The sequence below is a fragment of the Homo sapiens genome, chromosome 9 (genome assembly GCF_000001405.40).
Source record: "Homo sapiens chromosome 9, GRCh38.p14 Primary Assembly".
Classification (NCBI taxonomy): Eukaryota; Metazoa; Chordata; class Mammalia; order Primates; family Hominidae; genus Homo; species Homo sapiens.
This window is the reverse complement of record NC_000009.12, coordinates 128,770,049-128,783,981: the sequence shown is the minus strand read 5'-3', so window position 1 is coordinate 128,783,981 and position 13,933 is coordinate 128,770,049. Positions and strand designations below refer to the sequence as shown.

The 13,933-nt window shown below is 50.5% G+C and overlaps 1 protein-coding gene and 1 long non-coding RNA gene across 11 annotated transcripts in view, besides 6 other annotated features; one reads left to right on the top strand and one right to left on the bottom strand.

Annotated features, from left to right (window-relative positions):
* Positions 94-428: a transcriptional cis regulatory region, noted in NCBI's record as "candidate enhancer chr9.3033 targeted for multiplex CRISPR interference". NCBI's record gives its function as "positively regulates NAIF1 gene expression in K562 cells {active_cell/tissue: K562}" and the evidence as "EXISTENCE:mutant phenotype evidence [ECO:0000015][PMID:30612741]".
* Positions 94-432: a biological region, named in NCBI's record as "CRISPRi-validated cis-regulatory element chr9.3033". NCBI's record gives its function as "regulatory_interactions: NAIF1".
* Positions 138-432: an enhancer, noted in NCBI's record as "tiled region #12591; K562 Activating DNase matched - State 5:Enh". NCBI's record gives its function as "activates a minimal TATA promoter and a strong SV40 promoter by Sharpr-MPRA in K562 cells {active_cell/tissue: K562}" and the evidence as "EXISTENCE:reporter gene assay evidence [ECO:0000049][PMID:27701403]".
* Positions 2,113-12,648, bottom strand: LOC124902282 (uncharacterized). 2 transcript variants are annotated; one of them, XR_007061804.1, is made up of 2 exons: positions 12,434-12,648; positions 2,113-2,409 (listed from the first exon to the last, which is right to left on the bottom strand). It is a non-coding gene; the product is annotated as an uncharacterized LOC124902282 (long non-coding RNA). The 2 variants fall into 2 exon arrangements; XR_007061805.1 differs by lacking the exon at positions 12,434-12,648 and adding an exon at positions 3,683-3,719.
* Positions 10,964-11,690: an enhancer, noted in NCBI's record as "H3K27ac-H3K4me1 hESC enhancer chr9:131534571-131535297 (GRCh37/hg19 assembly coordinates)". NCBI's record gives its function as "activates a minimal SCP1, AML or CMV promoter by ChIP-STARR-seq in primed H9 embryonic stem cells {active_cell/tissue: H9 hESC(primed)}" and the evidence as "EXISTENCE:reporter gene assay evidence [ECO:0000049][PMID:30033119]".
* Positions 11,496-13,933, top strand: part of ZER1 (zyg-11 related cell cycle regulator) — a 42,701-nt gene continuing 40,263 nt past the window's right edge. For 3 of the 9 annotated variants that reach the window (NM_001375958.1, NM_001375959.1, NM_001375954.1), the window contains exon 1: positions 12,055-12,167. The gene's annotated coding sequence lies outside the window, so the exon portion shown is untranslated. Of the gene's footprint in view, positions 11,631-12,054; positions 12,825-13,933 lie in introns of those variants that run through there. The other 6 variants (XM_017014188.2, NM_001375956.1, NM_001375957.1 and 3 more) reach the window with 3 other exon arrangements.
* Positions 11,759-12,228: a silencer, noted in NCBI's record as "silent region_20351". NCBI's record gives its function as "represses an Ori minimal core promoter by ATAC-STARR-seq in GM12878 lymphoblastoid cells {active_cell/tissue: GM12878}" and the evidence as "EXISTENCE:reporter gene assay evidence [ECO:0000049][PMID:35858748]".
* Positions 12,419-12,468: an enhancer, noted in NCBI's record as "active region_29091". NCBI's record gives its function as "activates an Ori minimal core promoter by ATAC-STARR-seq in GM12878 lymphoblastoid cells {active_cell/tissue: GM12878}" and the evidence as "EXISTENCE:reporter gene assay evidence [ECO:0000049][PMID:35858748]".

Genomic DNA, 13,933 nt, shown 5'->3' with positions numbered 1-13,933 from the left:
ACGCCTGGCCTATTGTACATTTTTAAATCCCCACCACCACATTTTTCCCCCCCTCCCCAGGATGAGGTCTTGTTCTGTCCCCAGGCTGGAGTGCAGAGATTGCAGTGAGCCGAGATCATGCCACTGCACTCCAGGCTAGGCAACAGAGTGAGACCCTGTCTTAAAAAAAAAAGAAAAAAAAAAAAAAAGAGACAGTTATAATTGCTGACAAGGATGTGGAGAGATAGGAACCCACACATGTGCTGGAGGGAATGTAAAATGGTGCAGCTGCTATGGAAAATAGTATGACAGTTCCTCAAAAAGCTAAACATAGAATTACCCTATGACTCAGCACTTCCATTCCTAGGCATTGAAAGCATGGACAGGGCCAGGTGCAGTGGCTCTTGCTTGTAATCGCAGCACTCTGGGAGGCCAAGGCAGGAGGATTGCTTGAGGCAGGAATTCCAGACCAGCCTGGGCAACATAATGAGACCCCCGTCTCTGTAAAAAATCTTAAAATTTATCCAGGCATGGTGGCACACACCTGGTGTCCCAGCTACTCAGGAGGCTAAGGTGGGAGGATCACTTGAGCCTGGGAGGTTGGAGGCTGCAGTGAGCCATGATGATCAATCCACTGCACTCCAGCCTGGGTGACAGAGTGAGAAAAAAAAAAAAGAGAGAGAGAGAGAGAGAGAGAGAAAGCAGGAACAGATAGTTGTATGCCAATTGCAGCACTATTCCCAATAGCCAAAACGTGGACACACTTCATGTAACGATCAACAGATGAATGGATAAACAAAATGTTGTATATACATATCATGGCTTTTTTACATGCTACAACATGATGAACCGTGAAGACATTATGCTAAGTATCACAGCCAGTCACAAAAGGACAAACACTGTATGATTGTACTTGTATAAGGTAGCTAGGATATGCAAATTTATAAAAAAATAAAAGTGGATTAGATGTCACCAGGGACTACAGAGATAGAGAATGGGGAGTTATTGCTTAATGGTTACAGTTTCTATTTGGGGTAATGAAAAATTTTGGAAATAGGCTGAGCAAGATGATCTGTAATCCCAGCACTTTGGGAGGCCAAGGCAGGAGGACCACTTGAGGTCAAGAGTTCAAGACTAGCCTGTGCAATATAGCAAGACCCCATCTTTAAAAAAAAAAATTTTTTTTTGAGACACAGTCTCACTCTGCCACCCAGGCTGAGTACAGTGGCGGGATCTTGGCTCACTGCAGCCTCAACCTTCTGGGCTCAAGAGATCCTCTGCCTCAACCTCCCAAGTAGCTGGGAGCACATACCTGTGGCACCATGCCTGGCTAATTTTTTGTATTTTTTGTAGAGACAGGGTTTTGCCACCTTGCTCAGGCTGATTTCGAACTCCTGAGCTCAAGCAATCCCCCTGCCTCAGCCTCCTAAAGAGCTGGGATTACAGGAGTGAGCTCCACACCCGGCCTACAAAAATTTAACAAAAATAATTAGCAGGGCATGGTGGCACGCACCTGTAATCCTAGCTACTTGGGAGGTTGAGGCAGGAGAATTGCTTGAACCTAGGTGTTTGAGGCTGCAGTGAGCTGTGCTCACACCACTGCACTCCAGCTGGCGTAACAGAGCAAAACGCTGTCTCAAAAACAAACAAACAATAACAAAGTAATTTTGGAAATAAATAGTTTCCAAAGCTGCTAACGTAAAAGTTAAACAATGTAAAAAGATTACATAGTGTGCCAGTAATCAATTTCTTGACTCTCAGCTTCAAATTCTCTCATCATTTCCTGCTCTGAGAAAATGGATTTGGGACCTTTAACTATTTTTCCTGCATGGAATGGGCTTTCCTTTCCAATTTTAGTGTGCTTGGTAGACAGGCTTCTGCAGAACAAGGGGCTTGTCCAGCGCCTGCCTACTACTTCATTGCCAGTAGCCAGGAACGTCTCCCAACACTCTTCTCTGGCATTATTTTCAGAAAGGAGCCTCTGGTGGGACACTTTCCTGTAAATAGCTTTCCCAAGAACCTTAGATGGCTGATTTCTGGCAAGTTCTGTGACATTATTACCAAAACACCAGGGGTTTTGTCTAGGTCTTGCTGCTGGCTGCACAGAAAGCCAGTCACTGAGACAACCAGTACTGCCAGGAAAGAAAGCTTTAATCAGGTACTGCAGCCATGGAGGTGGGAGATCAGCTTCAAATCCATCTCCGTGACCAACTAAAATTAGGAGTTTATACAGCAGAAAAGAAATGTAGCTACATACAGGAAAACAGGAATTAGGGGAGGATAAGAAAGAAGAGTTGTTCAGCAGGAAGCAGGTGGCAGGTGGTCAGGTAATCATGACCAGTGAAGGGTCTGGTGTCTCATTGTACAGATGCTGTGATCTGGGAAGTTTCAGTTCCTTGATACTATCTGGGAGGCCTGATAGTTGGTTTCCTGAGAAATAAATTCAGATAAGACAAGTGTAACATTTTCAAGTTTCAAGACTCATGAAGGTCAACTTCTACATTTATTTTAAAAAAACCATAAATATCAGTTCTGTGGGACAATTGGGTTGGTTTCAACATGACACCACAGCTGATTTCCAGCAAGTTTCAAACGTAGAATTTCCAGAAAGTTTCATCAGTGCAGCATCACCATGACTTTGCTACCATTCAGTGAGCCACAGCCTTGTCCTTTCTCTTTATTTGAGACAGAGTCTTGCTCTGTTGCCGGGCTGGAGTGCGGTGGCACAATTTCAGTTCACTGCAACCTCTACCTCCCGGGTTCAGGCGATTTTCCTGCCTCAGCCTCCCAAGTGGCTGGGACTACAGGCACATGCCACCAGGCCCAGCTAATTTTTTTCTTTTTTCTTTTTTTTTAATTGATCATTCTTGGGTGTTTCTCGCAGAGGGGGATTTGGCAGGGTCACAGGACAACAGTGGAGGGAAGGTCAGCAGATAAACAAGTGAACAAAGGTCTCTGGTTTTCCTAGGCAGAGGACCCTGCGGCCTTCCGCAGTGTTTGTGTCCCTGGGTACTTGAGATTAGGGAGTGGTGATGACTCTTAAGGAGCATGCTGCCTTCAAGCATCTGTTTAACAAAGCACATCTTGCACCGCCCTTAATCCATTCAACCCTGAGTGGACACAGCACATGTTTCAGAGAGTACAGGGTTGGGGGTAAGGTCACAGATCAACAGGATCCCAAGGCAGAAGAATTTTTCTTAGTACAGAACAAAATGAAAAGTCTCCCATGTCTACCTCTTTCTACACAGACACGGCAACCATCCGATTTCTCAATCTTTTCCCCACCTTTCCCCACTTTCTATTCCACAAAACCGCCATCGTCATCATGGCCCGTTCTCAATGAGCTGTTGGGTACACCTCCCAGACGGGGTGGTGGCCGGGCAGAGGGGCTCCTCACTTCCCAGTAGGGGCGGCCGGGCAGAGGTGCCCCTCACCTCCGGGACGGGGCGGCTGGCCGGGCGGGGGGCTGACCCCCCCACCTCCCTCCTGGACGGGGCAGCTGGCCGGGCGGGGGGCTGACCGCCACCTCCCTCCCGGACGGGGCGGCTGGCCTGGCGGGGGCTGACCCCCCACCTCCCTCCCGGACGGGGCGGCTGGCCTGGCGGGGGCTGACCCCCACCTCCCTCCCGGACGGGGTGGCTGCCGGGCGGAGACGCTCCTCACTTCCCAGATGGGGTGGCTGCCAGGGGGAGGGGCTCCTCACTTCTCAGACGGGGTGGCTGCCGGGCGGAGGGGCTCCGCACTTCTCAGACGGGGCAGTTGCCAGGCAGAGGGTCTCCTCACTTCTCAGACGGGGCAGCCGGGCAGAGACGCTCCTCACATCCCAGACGGGGCAGCAGGGCAGAGGCGCTCCCCACATCTCAGACGATGGGCAGCGGGCAGAGACGCTCCTCACTTCCTAGATGGGATGGCGGCCGGGAAGAGGCGCTCCTCACTTCCTAGATGGGATGGCGGCCCGGCAGAGACGCTCCTCACTTTCCAGACTGGGCAGCCAGGCAGAGGGGCTCCTCACATCCCAGACAATGGGCGGCCGGGAAGAGGCGCTCCTCACTTCCCAGACAGGGTGGCGGCCGGGCAGAGGCTGCAATCTCGGCACTTTGGGAGGCCAAGGCAGGCGGCTGGGAGGTGGAGGTTGTAGCGAGCCGAGATCACGCCACTGCACTCCAGCCTGGGCACCACTGAGCACTGAGTGAACGAGACTCCGTCTGCAATCCCGGCACCTCGGGATGCCGAGGCTGGCGGATCACTCGCGGTTAGGAGTTGGAGACCAGCCCAGCCAACACAGCGAAACCCCGTCTCCACCAAAAAAATACGAAAACCAGTCAGGCGTGGCGGCGCGTGCCTGCAATCGCAGGCACTTGGCAGGCTGAGGCAGGAGAATCAGGCAGGGAGGTTGCAGTGAGCCGAGATGGCAGCAGTACAGTCCAGCCTCGGCTGGGCATCAGAGGGAGACCGTGGAAAGAGAGGGAGAGGGAGACCGTGGGGAGAGGGGGAGGGGGAGGGGGAGAGGAGGGAGAGCTAATTTTTTTTTTTTTTTTTTCTGAGATGGAGTCTTGCTCTGTCACCCAGGCTGGAGTGCAGTGGCGTGATCTCGGCTCACTGCAAGCTCCACCTCCCAGGTTCATGCCATTCTCCTGCCTCAGCCTCCTGAGTAGCTGGGACTACAGGCGCCCTCCACCACACCTGGCTAATTTTTTGTATTTTTAGTACAGACAGGGTTTCACTGTGTTAGCCAGATGGTCTCAATCTCTTGACCTCGTGATCTGCCCTCACTGGCCTCCCAAAGTGCTGGGATTACAGGCGTGAGCCACCGCGCCCAGCCCCATTTTTTTGTATTTTTAGTAGAGACGAGGTTTCACCATGTTGGCCAGGATGGTCTCGATCTCCTGACCTCGTGATCCACCCTCCTCGGCCTCCCAAAGTGCTGGGATTACAGGCATGAGCCACTGCCCCCAGTTGCCTTGTCTTTCTAACAAGGTCTGGATCTCTGGGGAAGTCCATTTCTTTAAGAGCTATATCTTACCCCAAGGGGCATTATCTGCTCCTTGTATCTGCTACTCCCATATTCTGTAGAGTTTTTTTTTTAACTTCTTATTAACCAATCCCTTGTGATTCCAATCTCTTGTTATTGCTAATAAAGCTTTTTTTTTTTTTTTTTCTCTGAGACAGGGTCTTACTCTGCCACCCAGGCTGGAGTGCAGTGGCACAATCTCATCTCACTACAAGCTCTGCCTCCTAGGCTCAAGCAATCCTCCCACTTCAGCCTCCCAAGTAGCTCAGACCACAGGCACGTGCCACCATGCCTGGCTAATTTTTTATTTTTTGTAGGGATGCGTTTTTACCATGTTGCCTAGGCTGGTCTTGAACTCCTCAGCTCATGTTATCTGTCTGCCTTGGCCTCCCAAAGTGCTGGGATTACAGCCATGAGCCACCATGACTCCTTTTTTAATTTTATTTTGAGACGAAGTTTCGCTTTTGTTGCCCAGACTGGAGTGCAATGGTGCATTCTCTGCTCACTGCAATCTCCGCCTCCTGGGTTCAAACGATTCTCCTGCCTCAACCTCCCGAGTAGTGGGGATTACGGCATGCGCCACCATGCCTGGCTAATTTTTTTTTTTTGAGACGGAGTGTTGCTCTGTTGACCAGGTTGGAGTGCAGTGGTGTGATCTCGGCTCACTGCAAGCTCTGCCTGCCGGGTTCACGCCATTCTCCTGCCTCAGCCTCCCAAGTAGCTGGGACTACAGGCGCCCGCCACTTCACCCAGCTACTTTTTTGTATATTTAGTAGAGATGGGGTTTCACCATGCTAGCCAGGATGGTCTCGATCTCCTGACCTCGTGATCCACCTGCCTCAGCCTCCCAAAGTGCTGGGATTACAGGCGTGAGCCACCACACCCGGCCTAATTTTGTATTTTTAGTAGAGACGGGGTTTCTCCACATTGGTCAGGCTGGTCTCGAGAACTCCCAATCTCAGGTGATCCACCCACCTCAGCCTCCCAAAGTGCTGGGATTACAGGTGTGAGCCATCACGCCAGCTCTCTTTTTTTAAATGATACTCATCCTAGTAGGTGAGAAGTGGCCTCTCACTGTGGTTTTGATTTGCATGTGAGTTCTCTAACTTTGTTCTTTTTCAAGTTTGTTTCAGCTATTAAGGGTTCCTTGAGATTCCATCTGAATATGAGAATGAATTTTTCTGTATTTCAAAAACCACCATTGGGTTTGTTTGTTTGTTTGTTTGTTTGTTTTGAGACAGACTCTTGCCCTGTCTCCCAGGCTGGAGTGCAATGGCGTGATCTTGGCTCACTGCAACCTCTGCATCCCGGGTTCAAGCGATTCTCCTGCCTCAGCCTCCCGAGTAGCTGGGACTACAGGTGTGCCACCATGCCCAGCTAATTTTTGTATTTTTAGTAGAGAATGGGTTTCACCATGTTGGCCAGGCTGGTCTCGAACTCCTGACTTCATGATCTGTCCACCTTGGCCTCCCAAAATGCTGGGATTACAGATGTGAGCTACCACGCCCAGCAGGGATTTTTTTTTTTTTTTTTTTGAGACAGAGTCTTGCTCTGTTGCCCAGGCTGGGGTGCAGTGGTACAATCTTGGCTCACTGCAACCTCTGCCCCCTGGGTTCAAGTGATTCTCCTGCCTCAGCCTCCCAAGTAGCTGGGATTAAAGGCGTCTGCCACTATGCCTGGCTAATTTTTGTATTTTTAGTAGAGATGGGGTTTCACCATGTTGGCCAGGCTGGTCTTGAATTCCTGACCTCAGTTGATCTGCCACCCTCGGCCTCCCAAAGTGCTGGGATTACAGGTGTGAGCCACTGCACCCAGCCTAGTTAGGTATTCTTTAATTTTGTTTAGCAATGTTTTGTGGTTTTCAGTGTACAAGTCTTTTACATCCTTGGTTAAATTTATTCTATTTTATTCTTTTTGATGCCCTTGCAAATGGAATTGGTTTTATTAAATTCTTTTTCAGATGGTTTTTTTAAAGTATATGGAAATGCAACTGATTTTTGTGTGTTGCTTTTGTATCTTGCAACTCTGCTAAATTCATTTATTGGCTTTAATAAATTTTTGTGCATTATTTAAGGTTTTCTTTTCTCTTTTTTTTTTTTTTTTTGAGACAGAGTCTTGCTCTGTTGCCCAGGCTAGAGTGCGGTGGCCTGATTTCGGCTCACTGCAACCTCTGCCTCCCAGGTGCAAGCGATTCTCCTGCCTCAGCCTCCCAAGTAGCTGGGATTAGAGACACCCGCCACCATGCCCGGCTAATTTTTGATTTTTAGTAGAGACGGTTTCGCCATCTTGGTCAGGCTGGTCTCGAACTCCTGACTTGGTGATCCACCTGCCTCGGCCTCCCAAAGTGCTGGGATTACAGGCATGAGCCACGGTGCCTGGCTGAATTTTTTTTTTTTTTTTTTTTTGAGATGGAGTCTTGCTCTGTCACCCAGGCTGGAGTGCAGTGGCTTGATCTCAGCGCACTGCAACCTCCACCTCCCAGGTTCAAGCGATTCTTCTGCCTGGGCCTCCTGAGTAGCTGGGACTACAGCCACCTGCCACCATGCTTGGCTAATTTTTGTATTTTTAGTAGAGACGGGGTTTCACCATATTGACCAGGCTAGTCTCAAATTCCTGACCTCAGGTGATCTGCCCGCCTCAGGCTCCCAAATTGCTGGGATTACAGGCATAAGCCACTGAGCCCAGCCTACAGTACTTGATTTTCATACGTTGAACCATCCTTGAATTCCAACAATAAATCCCATTCCCACATCTCACTTGGTCATAGTATATTGCTATTTTAATATGCTGCTGAATTTGGCTTGCTATATCGAAACTATATCTTTTTTCAGCCTCTTACTTTGAACCTATTTCTGTCTTTACATTTAAAGTGGGCTTATTATAGGCAGCATTTTGTTGGGGCTTGCTTTTTTAAAAGTAAAAATTTTAGAGGCAGGGTCTCCTTCTGTCACCCAGGCTGGAGTGCAGTGCACCATCATGACTTACTAAAGCCTCAACCCTCTGGGTTCAAGAGATCCTCCTGAGTAGCTGGGACTACAGGCATATGCCACCATACCTCACTAATTTTTAAATTTTTTGTAGAGACAGGATCTCACTATATTTCCCTTGCTCGTCTCAAACTCCTGGATTCAAGTGACCCTCCCACTTTAGCCTCCCAAAGTGAGAGCTTGTCTTTCTTTCTTTCTTTCTTTTCTTTCTTTCTTTCTTTTTTTTTTTTTTTTTGAGATGGAGTTTCGCTCATGTTGCCCAGGCTGAAGTGCATTGGCGCCATCTTGGCTAACCACAAACTCTGCCTTCTGGGTTCAAGTGATTCTCCTGCCCTAGCCTCCCAAGTAGCTAGAACTACAGGCATGCACCACCACACCCAGCTAATTTTTGTATTTTTAGTAGAGACAGGGTATCACCACATTGGCCAGGGATGGTCTTGATCTCTTGACCTCATGATCCACCAGCCTCGGCCTCCCAAAGTGCTGGGATTACAGGCATGAAGGCATGAGCCACTGTGCCCAGCCATTTTTTTTTTTTTTTGAGATGGAATTTCGTTCTTGTTGCCCAGGCTGGAATGCAATGATGCCATCTCAGCGCACTGCAACCTCCACTTCCCGGGTTCAAGAAATTCTCCTACCTCAGCCTCCTGAGTAGCTGGGATTACAGGCATGCGCCGCCACGCCCGGCTAATTTTGTATTTTTAGTAGAGATGGGTTTTCTCCATGTTGGTCAGGATGGTCGTGAACTCCTGACCTCAGGTGATCTGCCCGCCTCAGCCTCCCAAAGTGCTGGGATTACAAGTGTGAGCTGCTCTGCCCAGCTCGCTCTTTTCTTTTTTCTTTCTTTCTCTCTCTCTCTTTTTTCTTTCTCTCTCTCTTCCTTCTTCTTTTCTTTCTCTCTTTTCCTCTCTCTCTCCTTCCTTCTTTCCCTTCCTTCCTTCCTCCCTCCTTCCCTCTCTCTCTTCTTCTTCTTCTCCTCCTTTCTTTCTTTTTCTTTCTTTCTTTCTTTTTCTTTCCTTCTCTCTTTCCCTCTTTCCTTCCTTCCCTTCTTTCTTTCTTTCTCTCTCTTTTTTTCCTTTCTTGTCTTTCTCTCTTTCCCTCTTTCTCTCTCTCTCTCTTTCCTTCCTTCCTACTTTCTTTTTTTTTTTTTGAGACAGAGTCTTGCTCTGTCACCCAGTCTGGCCTCAGCCTCCCAAGTACCTGGGACTACAGGCAAATGCCACTACGCCTGGCTAATTTTTTTTTTTTTTTTTTTGTATTTTTAGTAGAGACAGTGTTTCACTATGTTGTCCATCTTGTCTCAAACTCCTGGCCTCAAGTGATCCGCCCACCTGAGCCTCCCAAAGTGCTGGGATTACAGGCATGAGCCTGGGGCTTGCTTTTCTATGCAATGTGACAAACTCTGCCTTTTACTTAAAGTGTTTAGACCCTTACATTCACTATGATTATTTTCCTGGTTTAATCTAAGCCCATTTTGCTATTTGTTTCTTTTTTTTTTTTTTTTTTTTTGAGACGGAGTCTCGCTCTGTTGCCCAGGCTGGAGTGTAGTGGCGCCATCTCGGCTCCCTGCAAGCTCCGCCTCCCAGGTTCACACCATTCTCCTGCCTCAGCCTCCCGAGTAGCTGGGACTACAGGCGCCTGCCACCACACCCGGCTAATTTTTTTGTATTTTTAGTAGAGACCGGGTTTCACCATGTTAGCCAGGATGGTCTCGGTCTCCTGACCTCGTGATCTGCCCGCCTCGGCCTCCCAAAGTGCTGGGACTACAGGCATGAGCCACCGCGCCTGGCCTGTTATTTGTTTCTTATTTCCTATTTGTTTTCTGTTTTCTTTCTTTTTCTTTTGTTTGAGACAGAGTCTCACAGTGTTGCCCAGGCTGGCGTGCAGCGGCGTGATCTCCGTTCACTGCAACCTCCGCCCCCAGGGTTTAAGCAATTCTCCTGCCTCAGCCTCCAGAGTGGCTGGGACTATAGGCACATGCTGCCACACCTGGATAATTTTTTAAAATTTTTTATTTTAGTAAAGACAGGGTTTCACCGTGTTGCCCAGGCTGTTCTCGAACTGCTGAGCTCAGGCAATCAGGCCACCTCAGCCTCCCAAAGTGCTGGGATTACAGGCGTGAGCCACCAAACCGGGCTTTTTTTTTTTTTCTTGTGAAACAGAGTTTCACTCCTGTTGCCCTGGCTGGAGTGCAATGGCACAATCTTGGCTCACTGCAAACTCTGCCTCCCAGGTTCAAGCGATTCTCCTACCTCAGTCTCCCAAGTTCCCAAGTAGCTGGGATTACAGGCGTGCGCCACTATGCCCAGCTAATTTTTGTATTTTTAGTAGAGACGGGGTTTCACCATGTTGGCCAGGCTGGTCTCAAACTCTTGACCTCGTGATCTGCCTGCCTTGGCCTTCCAAAGTGCTGATATAACAGGCTTGAGCCACGACGCCTGGCCCAAGCAATGTATTAATATGAGAGTTCCCATCTAGCCATATCCTCGTCAACATTTGTTATTGTCTCTCTGATGATGTCCATCTTAAGGAGCATAAAACCGTACCTCCCCACCTCCTGGGCTCAAGCAATCCTCCAACTTCAGCCTCCCGAGTAGCTGGGACTACAGATGCGCACCACCATGCCCTGCTAATTTTTGTAGAAATGGGGTCTCCCTATGTTGCCCAGGCTGATCTCCAACTCCTGGGCTCAAGCCTCAGCCTCGACAACCCCATCTGCTGAGATTATAGGTTGTGAGTCACTGTGCCAAGCCCAACAGCTTTTTTAAGGATTCAAGACTGTACGAACATAGTTGTAGCTGGTCAAAGATTAAAAGGTGCTATGCAAGAAAAAAGAAATCCACAAAATTAGTTCTTGGAATGGAACTGAGGCACCTGTCAAGAAAGGGTTCCTCAAGAAAGGAGCATCTAGCTAGGGTGTGGTAGCTCACGCCTGTAATCCCAGCACTTTGGGAGGCTGAGGTGGGCGCATCACCTGAGGTCAAGAGTTTGAGACCAGCCTGCCCAACATGGCGAAACCCCATCTCTACTAAAAATACAAAAATTAGCCAGACGTGATAGTAGGCGCCTGTAATCCCAGCTACTTGGAGGCTGAGGCAGGAGAATTGCTTGAACCCGGGGAGTCTGCAGTGAGCTGAGGGCCATTGCCCGCCAGCCTGGGCAACAAGAGAGAGAAACTCCGTCTCTCAAAAAAAAAAAAAAAAAAGAGAAATCCAGAGAAGAAATGATGGTGTTTTGAGATGGAGTCTTCCTCTGTCGCCCAGGCTGGAGTGCAGTGGTGCGATCTCAGCTTACTGCAAGCTCTGCCTCCTGGGTTCAAACGATTCTCCTGCTTCAGTCTCCTGAGTAGCTGGGATTAGAGGCGCGCACCACCACGCTCGGCTAATTTTTGTATTTTTAGTAAAGACGGCGTTTCACCATGTTGGCCAGGCTGGTCTCGAACTCTTGACCTCAGGTGATCCGCGTGCCTCGGCCTCCCAAAGTGCTGGGATTACAGGCGTGAGCCACTGCGCTCGGCCAGAAGGAACTGGTTTGACAGGATCCTTAGGACTTGGAGACTGGACGAGGGGCCCAGGAAAATGTAGGGGCCGAGGTCGCCGCCCAATTTCCCATTTGGAAGCTCGGTTGCCTGGTGGCGCATGCCCTAGATGGAGGTTAGGAGCACCTTTTGGGGGACGGTGATGACTGCGGGTTGACACGCGAGTGTGAGCCACCCGTGGAGAACGCAAGACATGTTCAACAGGGCGCTGGATGGAGGGGGCTGGCGCCCAGAGTCAGTCCTGCTATTCAGCAGTGTTGGGCTCAGGTGAACCGCAGCGCCAGGGCGGGCACCGATCCTAGGGTCCCACGAACAGGCCCCTCGGAGGCCAGGGAGAGCCCTGAATGACGCGTTCTCTCGGGTGGCCTGGGGGGGGCATCCCGCGGCTTCCTCCACCGGCGTAACGTGCCGGGCCCGGGGAAAGGAGCCGCCCGCCGGTCCCCGGAACCTTCTGCCGCCGCCGCCCGCGTTAGCCGCGGGACGGGTCGGGGGAACCCGATCGCTGTTGCTAAGGGGCGGCCCCGGAAGTGACGCGCCCCGGGTTTGTTGACAGCGGAGGCGGCGGCGGCTGCAGGCTCCGAGCCGTAGGAGCCGGATCGGGGGAGGGGCCGGGCCCAGGAGCCTCAGCCCCGCCGGCAGCCCTAAGGGCAAGGTAACCGCCACGGGGTCCCCGTCGCGACCCCCTCCCTCCCGGAGCTCCCGTCCCCGGGATCCCAAGCTCCGCCCCGCCGACCCCCGTCTCCCCTGGACCCCGGCTCTAGCCTGACGAGATCCCCAACCTCCTGAGGTGCTCTGGCCCCGGATTCTCCCGGGCTGCATTCTCTGCTCCTCCTCGCCTGCGAAGCATCACGTCCGCTTCCCGACGCTGAGGGCAGCCCCGTCCAGGGTAGGTCCCGGACCCCGGGCCAAGGGACGTACCTGCGTCCTCCTCCTTCGCCTCCTGCCTACGGGGCCTAAGCATCGCCGCTGCAACCACTCTCTGAGGTCCATCTCCGCCAGTGGTGGGAGGGTTCCTTTCTCTATCCCTGCCGCCAGGTCTGAGAATCGTGTCTTTAAAACTGAGCTCCCTTCCTCCAGAAAGAAAATGACGCTCTGTCGTTTGCCCCTACAAGATGGGGGATCGGTGTAGGGCTGAAAGGGCCACCCTCTGCCCCTCCTACCTGTTGGATGAGCTTAAGTTCCCCCAGAGAAGTGCTTAGAAGCTCAAGGACGACTTGGATTCTGGATCAGCTCCCAAAAGGGATGACACAAAGTATAGGGAAATCCAACAGGGTGAGGTTGCAACCGGAGGGCCAAGGGAGCCCGACAGGTGAGTTGATAGTGAAACTGACTGTGCTGGCCACTATAGCTCTCTGGGTGGAACTTGTCTTGGCTGCTCTTTGACCGAAAGAGCCCAAGATTTCCAGTCTTTGCCTGTGTTTGTCAGTCCATTCGTTTTGTTTTGTTTTGTTTTTCTTTAAATAGAGATGGGGTCTCACTATGTTACCCAAGCTGGTCTCGAACTCCTGGGCTCAAGTGATCCGCCCGCTCCAGCCTCCAAAAGTGCTGGAAATACAGGCATGAGCCACCGCGCTCAGCTAGTGCATTTGATTTTTAAGGGGGAGGGGAATGGAATGTCTGATGTCTTGGGAAAATCCTTCCATATATGATCTTTCACAGAATGTTTCTCTTCAGACTTCAAACTGGTTAGGATGAGCATAAAAGCATAGCCTTGAAAAGGGTCACGGGAGGCTATACTTAGAGCAGAAAGTGGTGGCCAGGGGTGAAGGGCCTCGCTACTTTGGTTCATTTGTTCATTCAGCAAATAATAAACATGATATGTAAGGAGGTAATAAGTGGTTTGGAGAAAAATAGAGAAGGAAGGACCATGGGGAAGGAGTTGGGAGTTGTCATTTTATAGAGGGTGTTCAGGGAAGGTCTCTAGTAAGGTGACCTTTGAGCAGAGATAAGTGAGGGAGCAAGCCAGGTAGTTCTCTTGTGGCAGAGCATTCCGCAGCAAATGCAAAGGTCCTGTGGTCATATGCCTGGTGATTTGAAGAAACAGCATAAGGGCTCACGCTTGTAATCCCAGCACTTTGGGAGGCTGAGGCAGCCGGATCACCTGAGGTCAGGAGTTCAAGACCAGCCTGGCCGACATGGTGAAACCCCATCTCTACTAAAAGTACCAAAAAAAAAATTAGCTGGCCGTGGTGGCTCATGTCTGTAATCCAAGTTACTCAGGAGGCTGAGGCAGGAGAATTATTTGAACCTGAGAGGTGGAGGTTGCAGTGAGCCGAGATTGTGCCCATTGCATTCCAGCCTGGGTGACAAGAGTGAGACTCTGTCTCAAAAAAAAGAAAGAAACAGTGGGAGGATGGGGGACTGGAGCAGGTTGAAGAAAGGGAAGAGTGGTTGGCAAGAAAGTCAGAGAACAGTGGG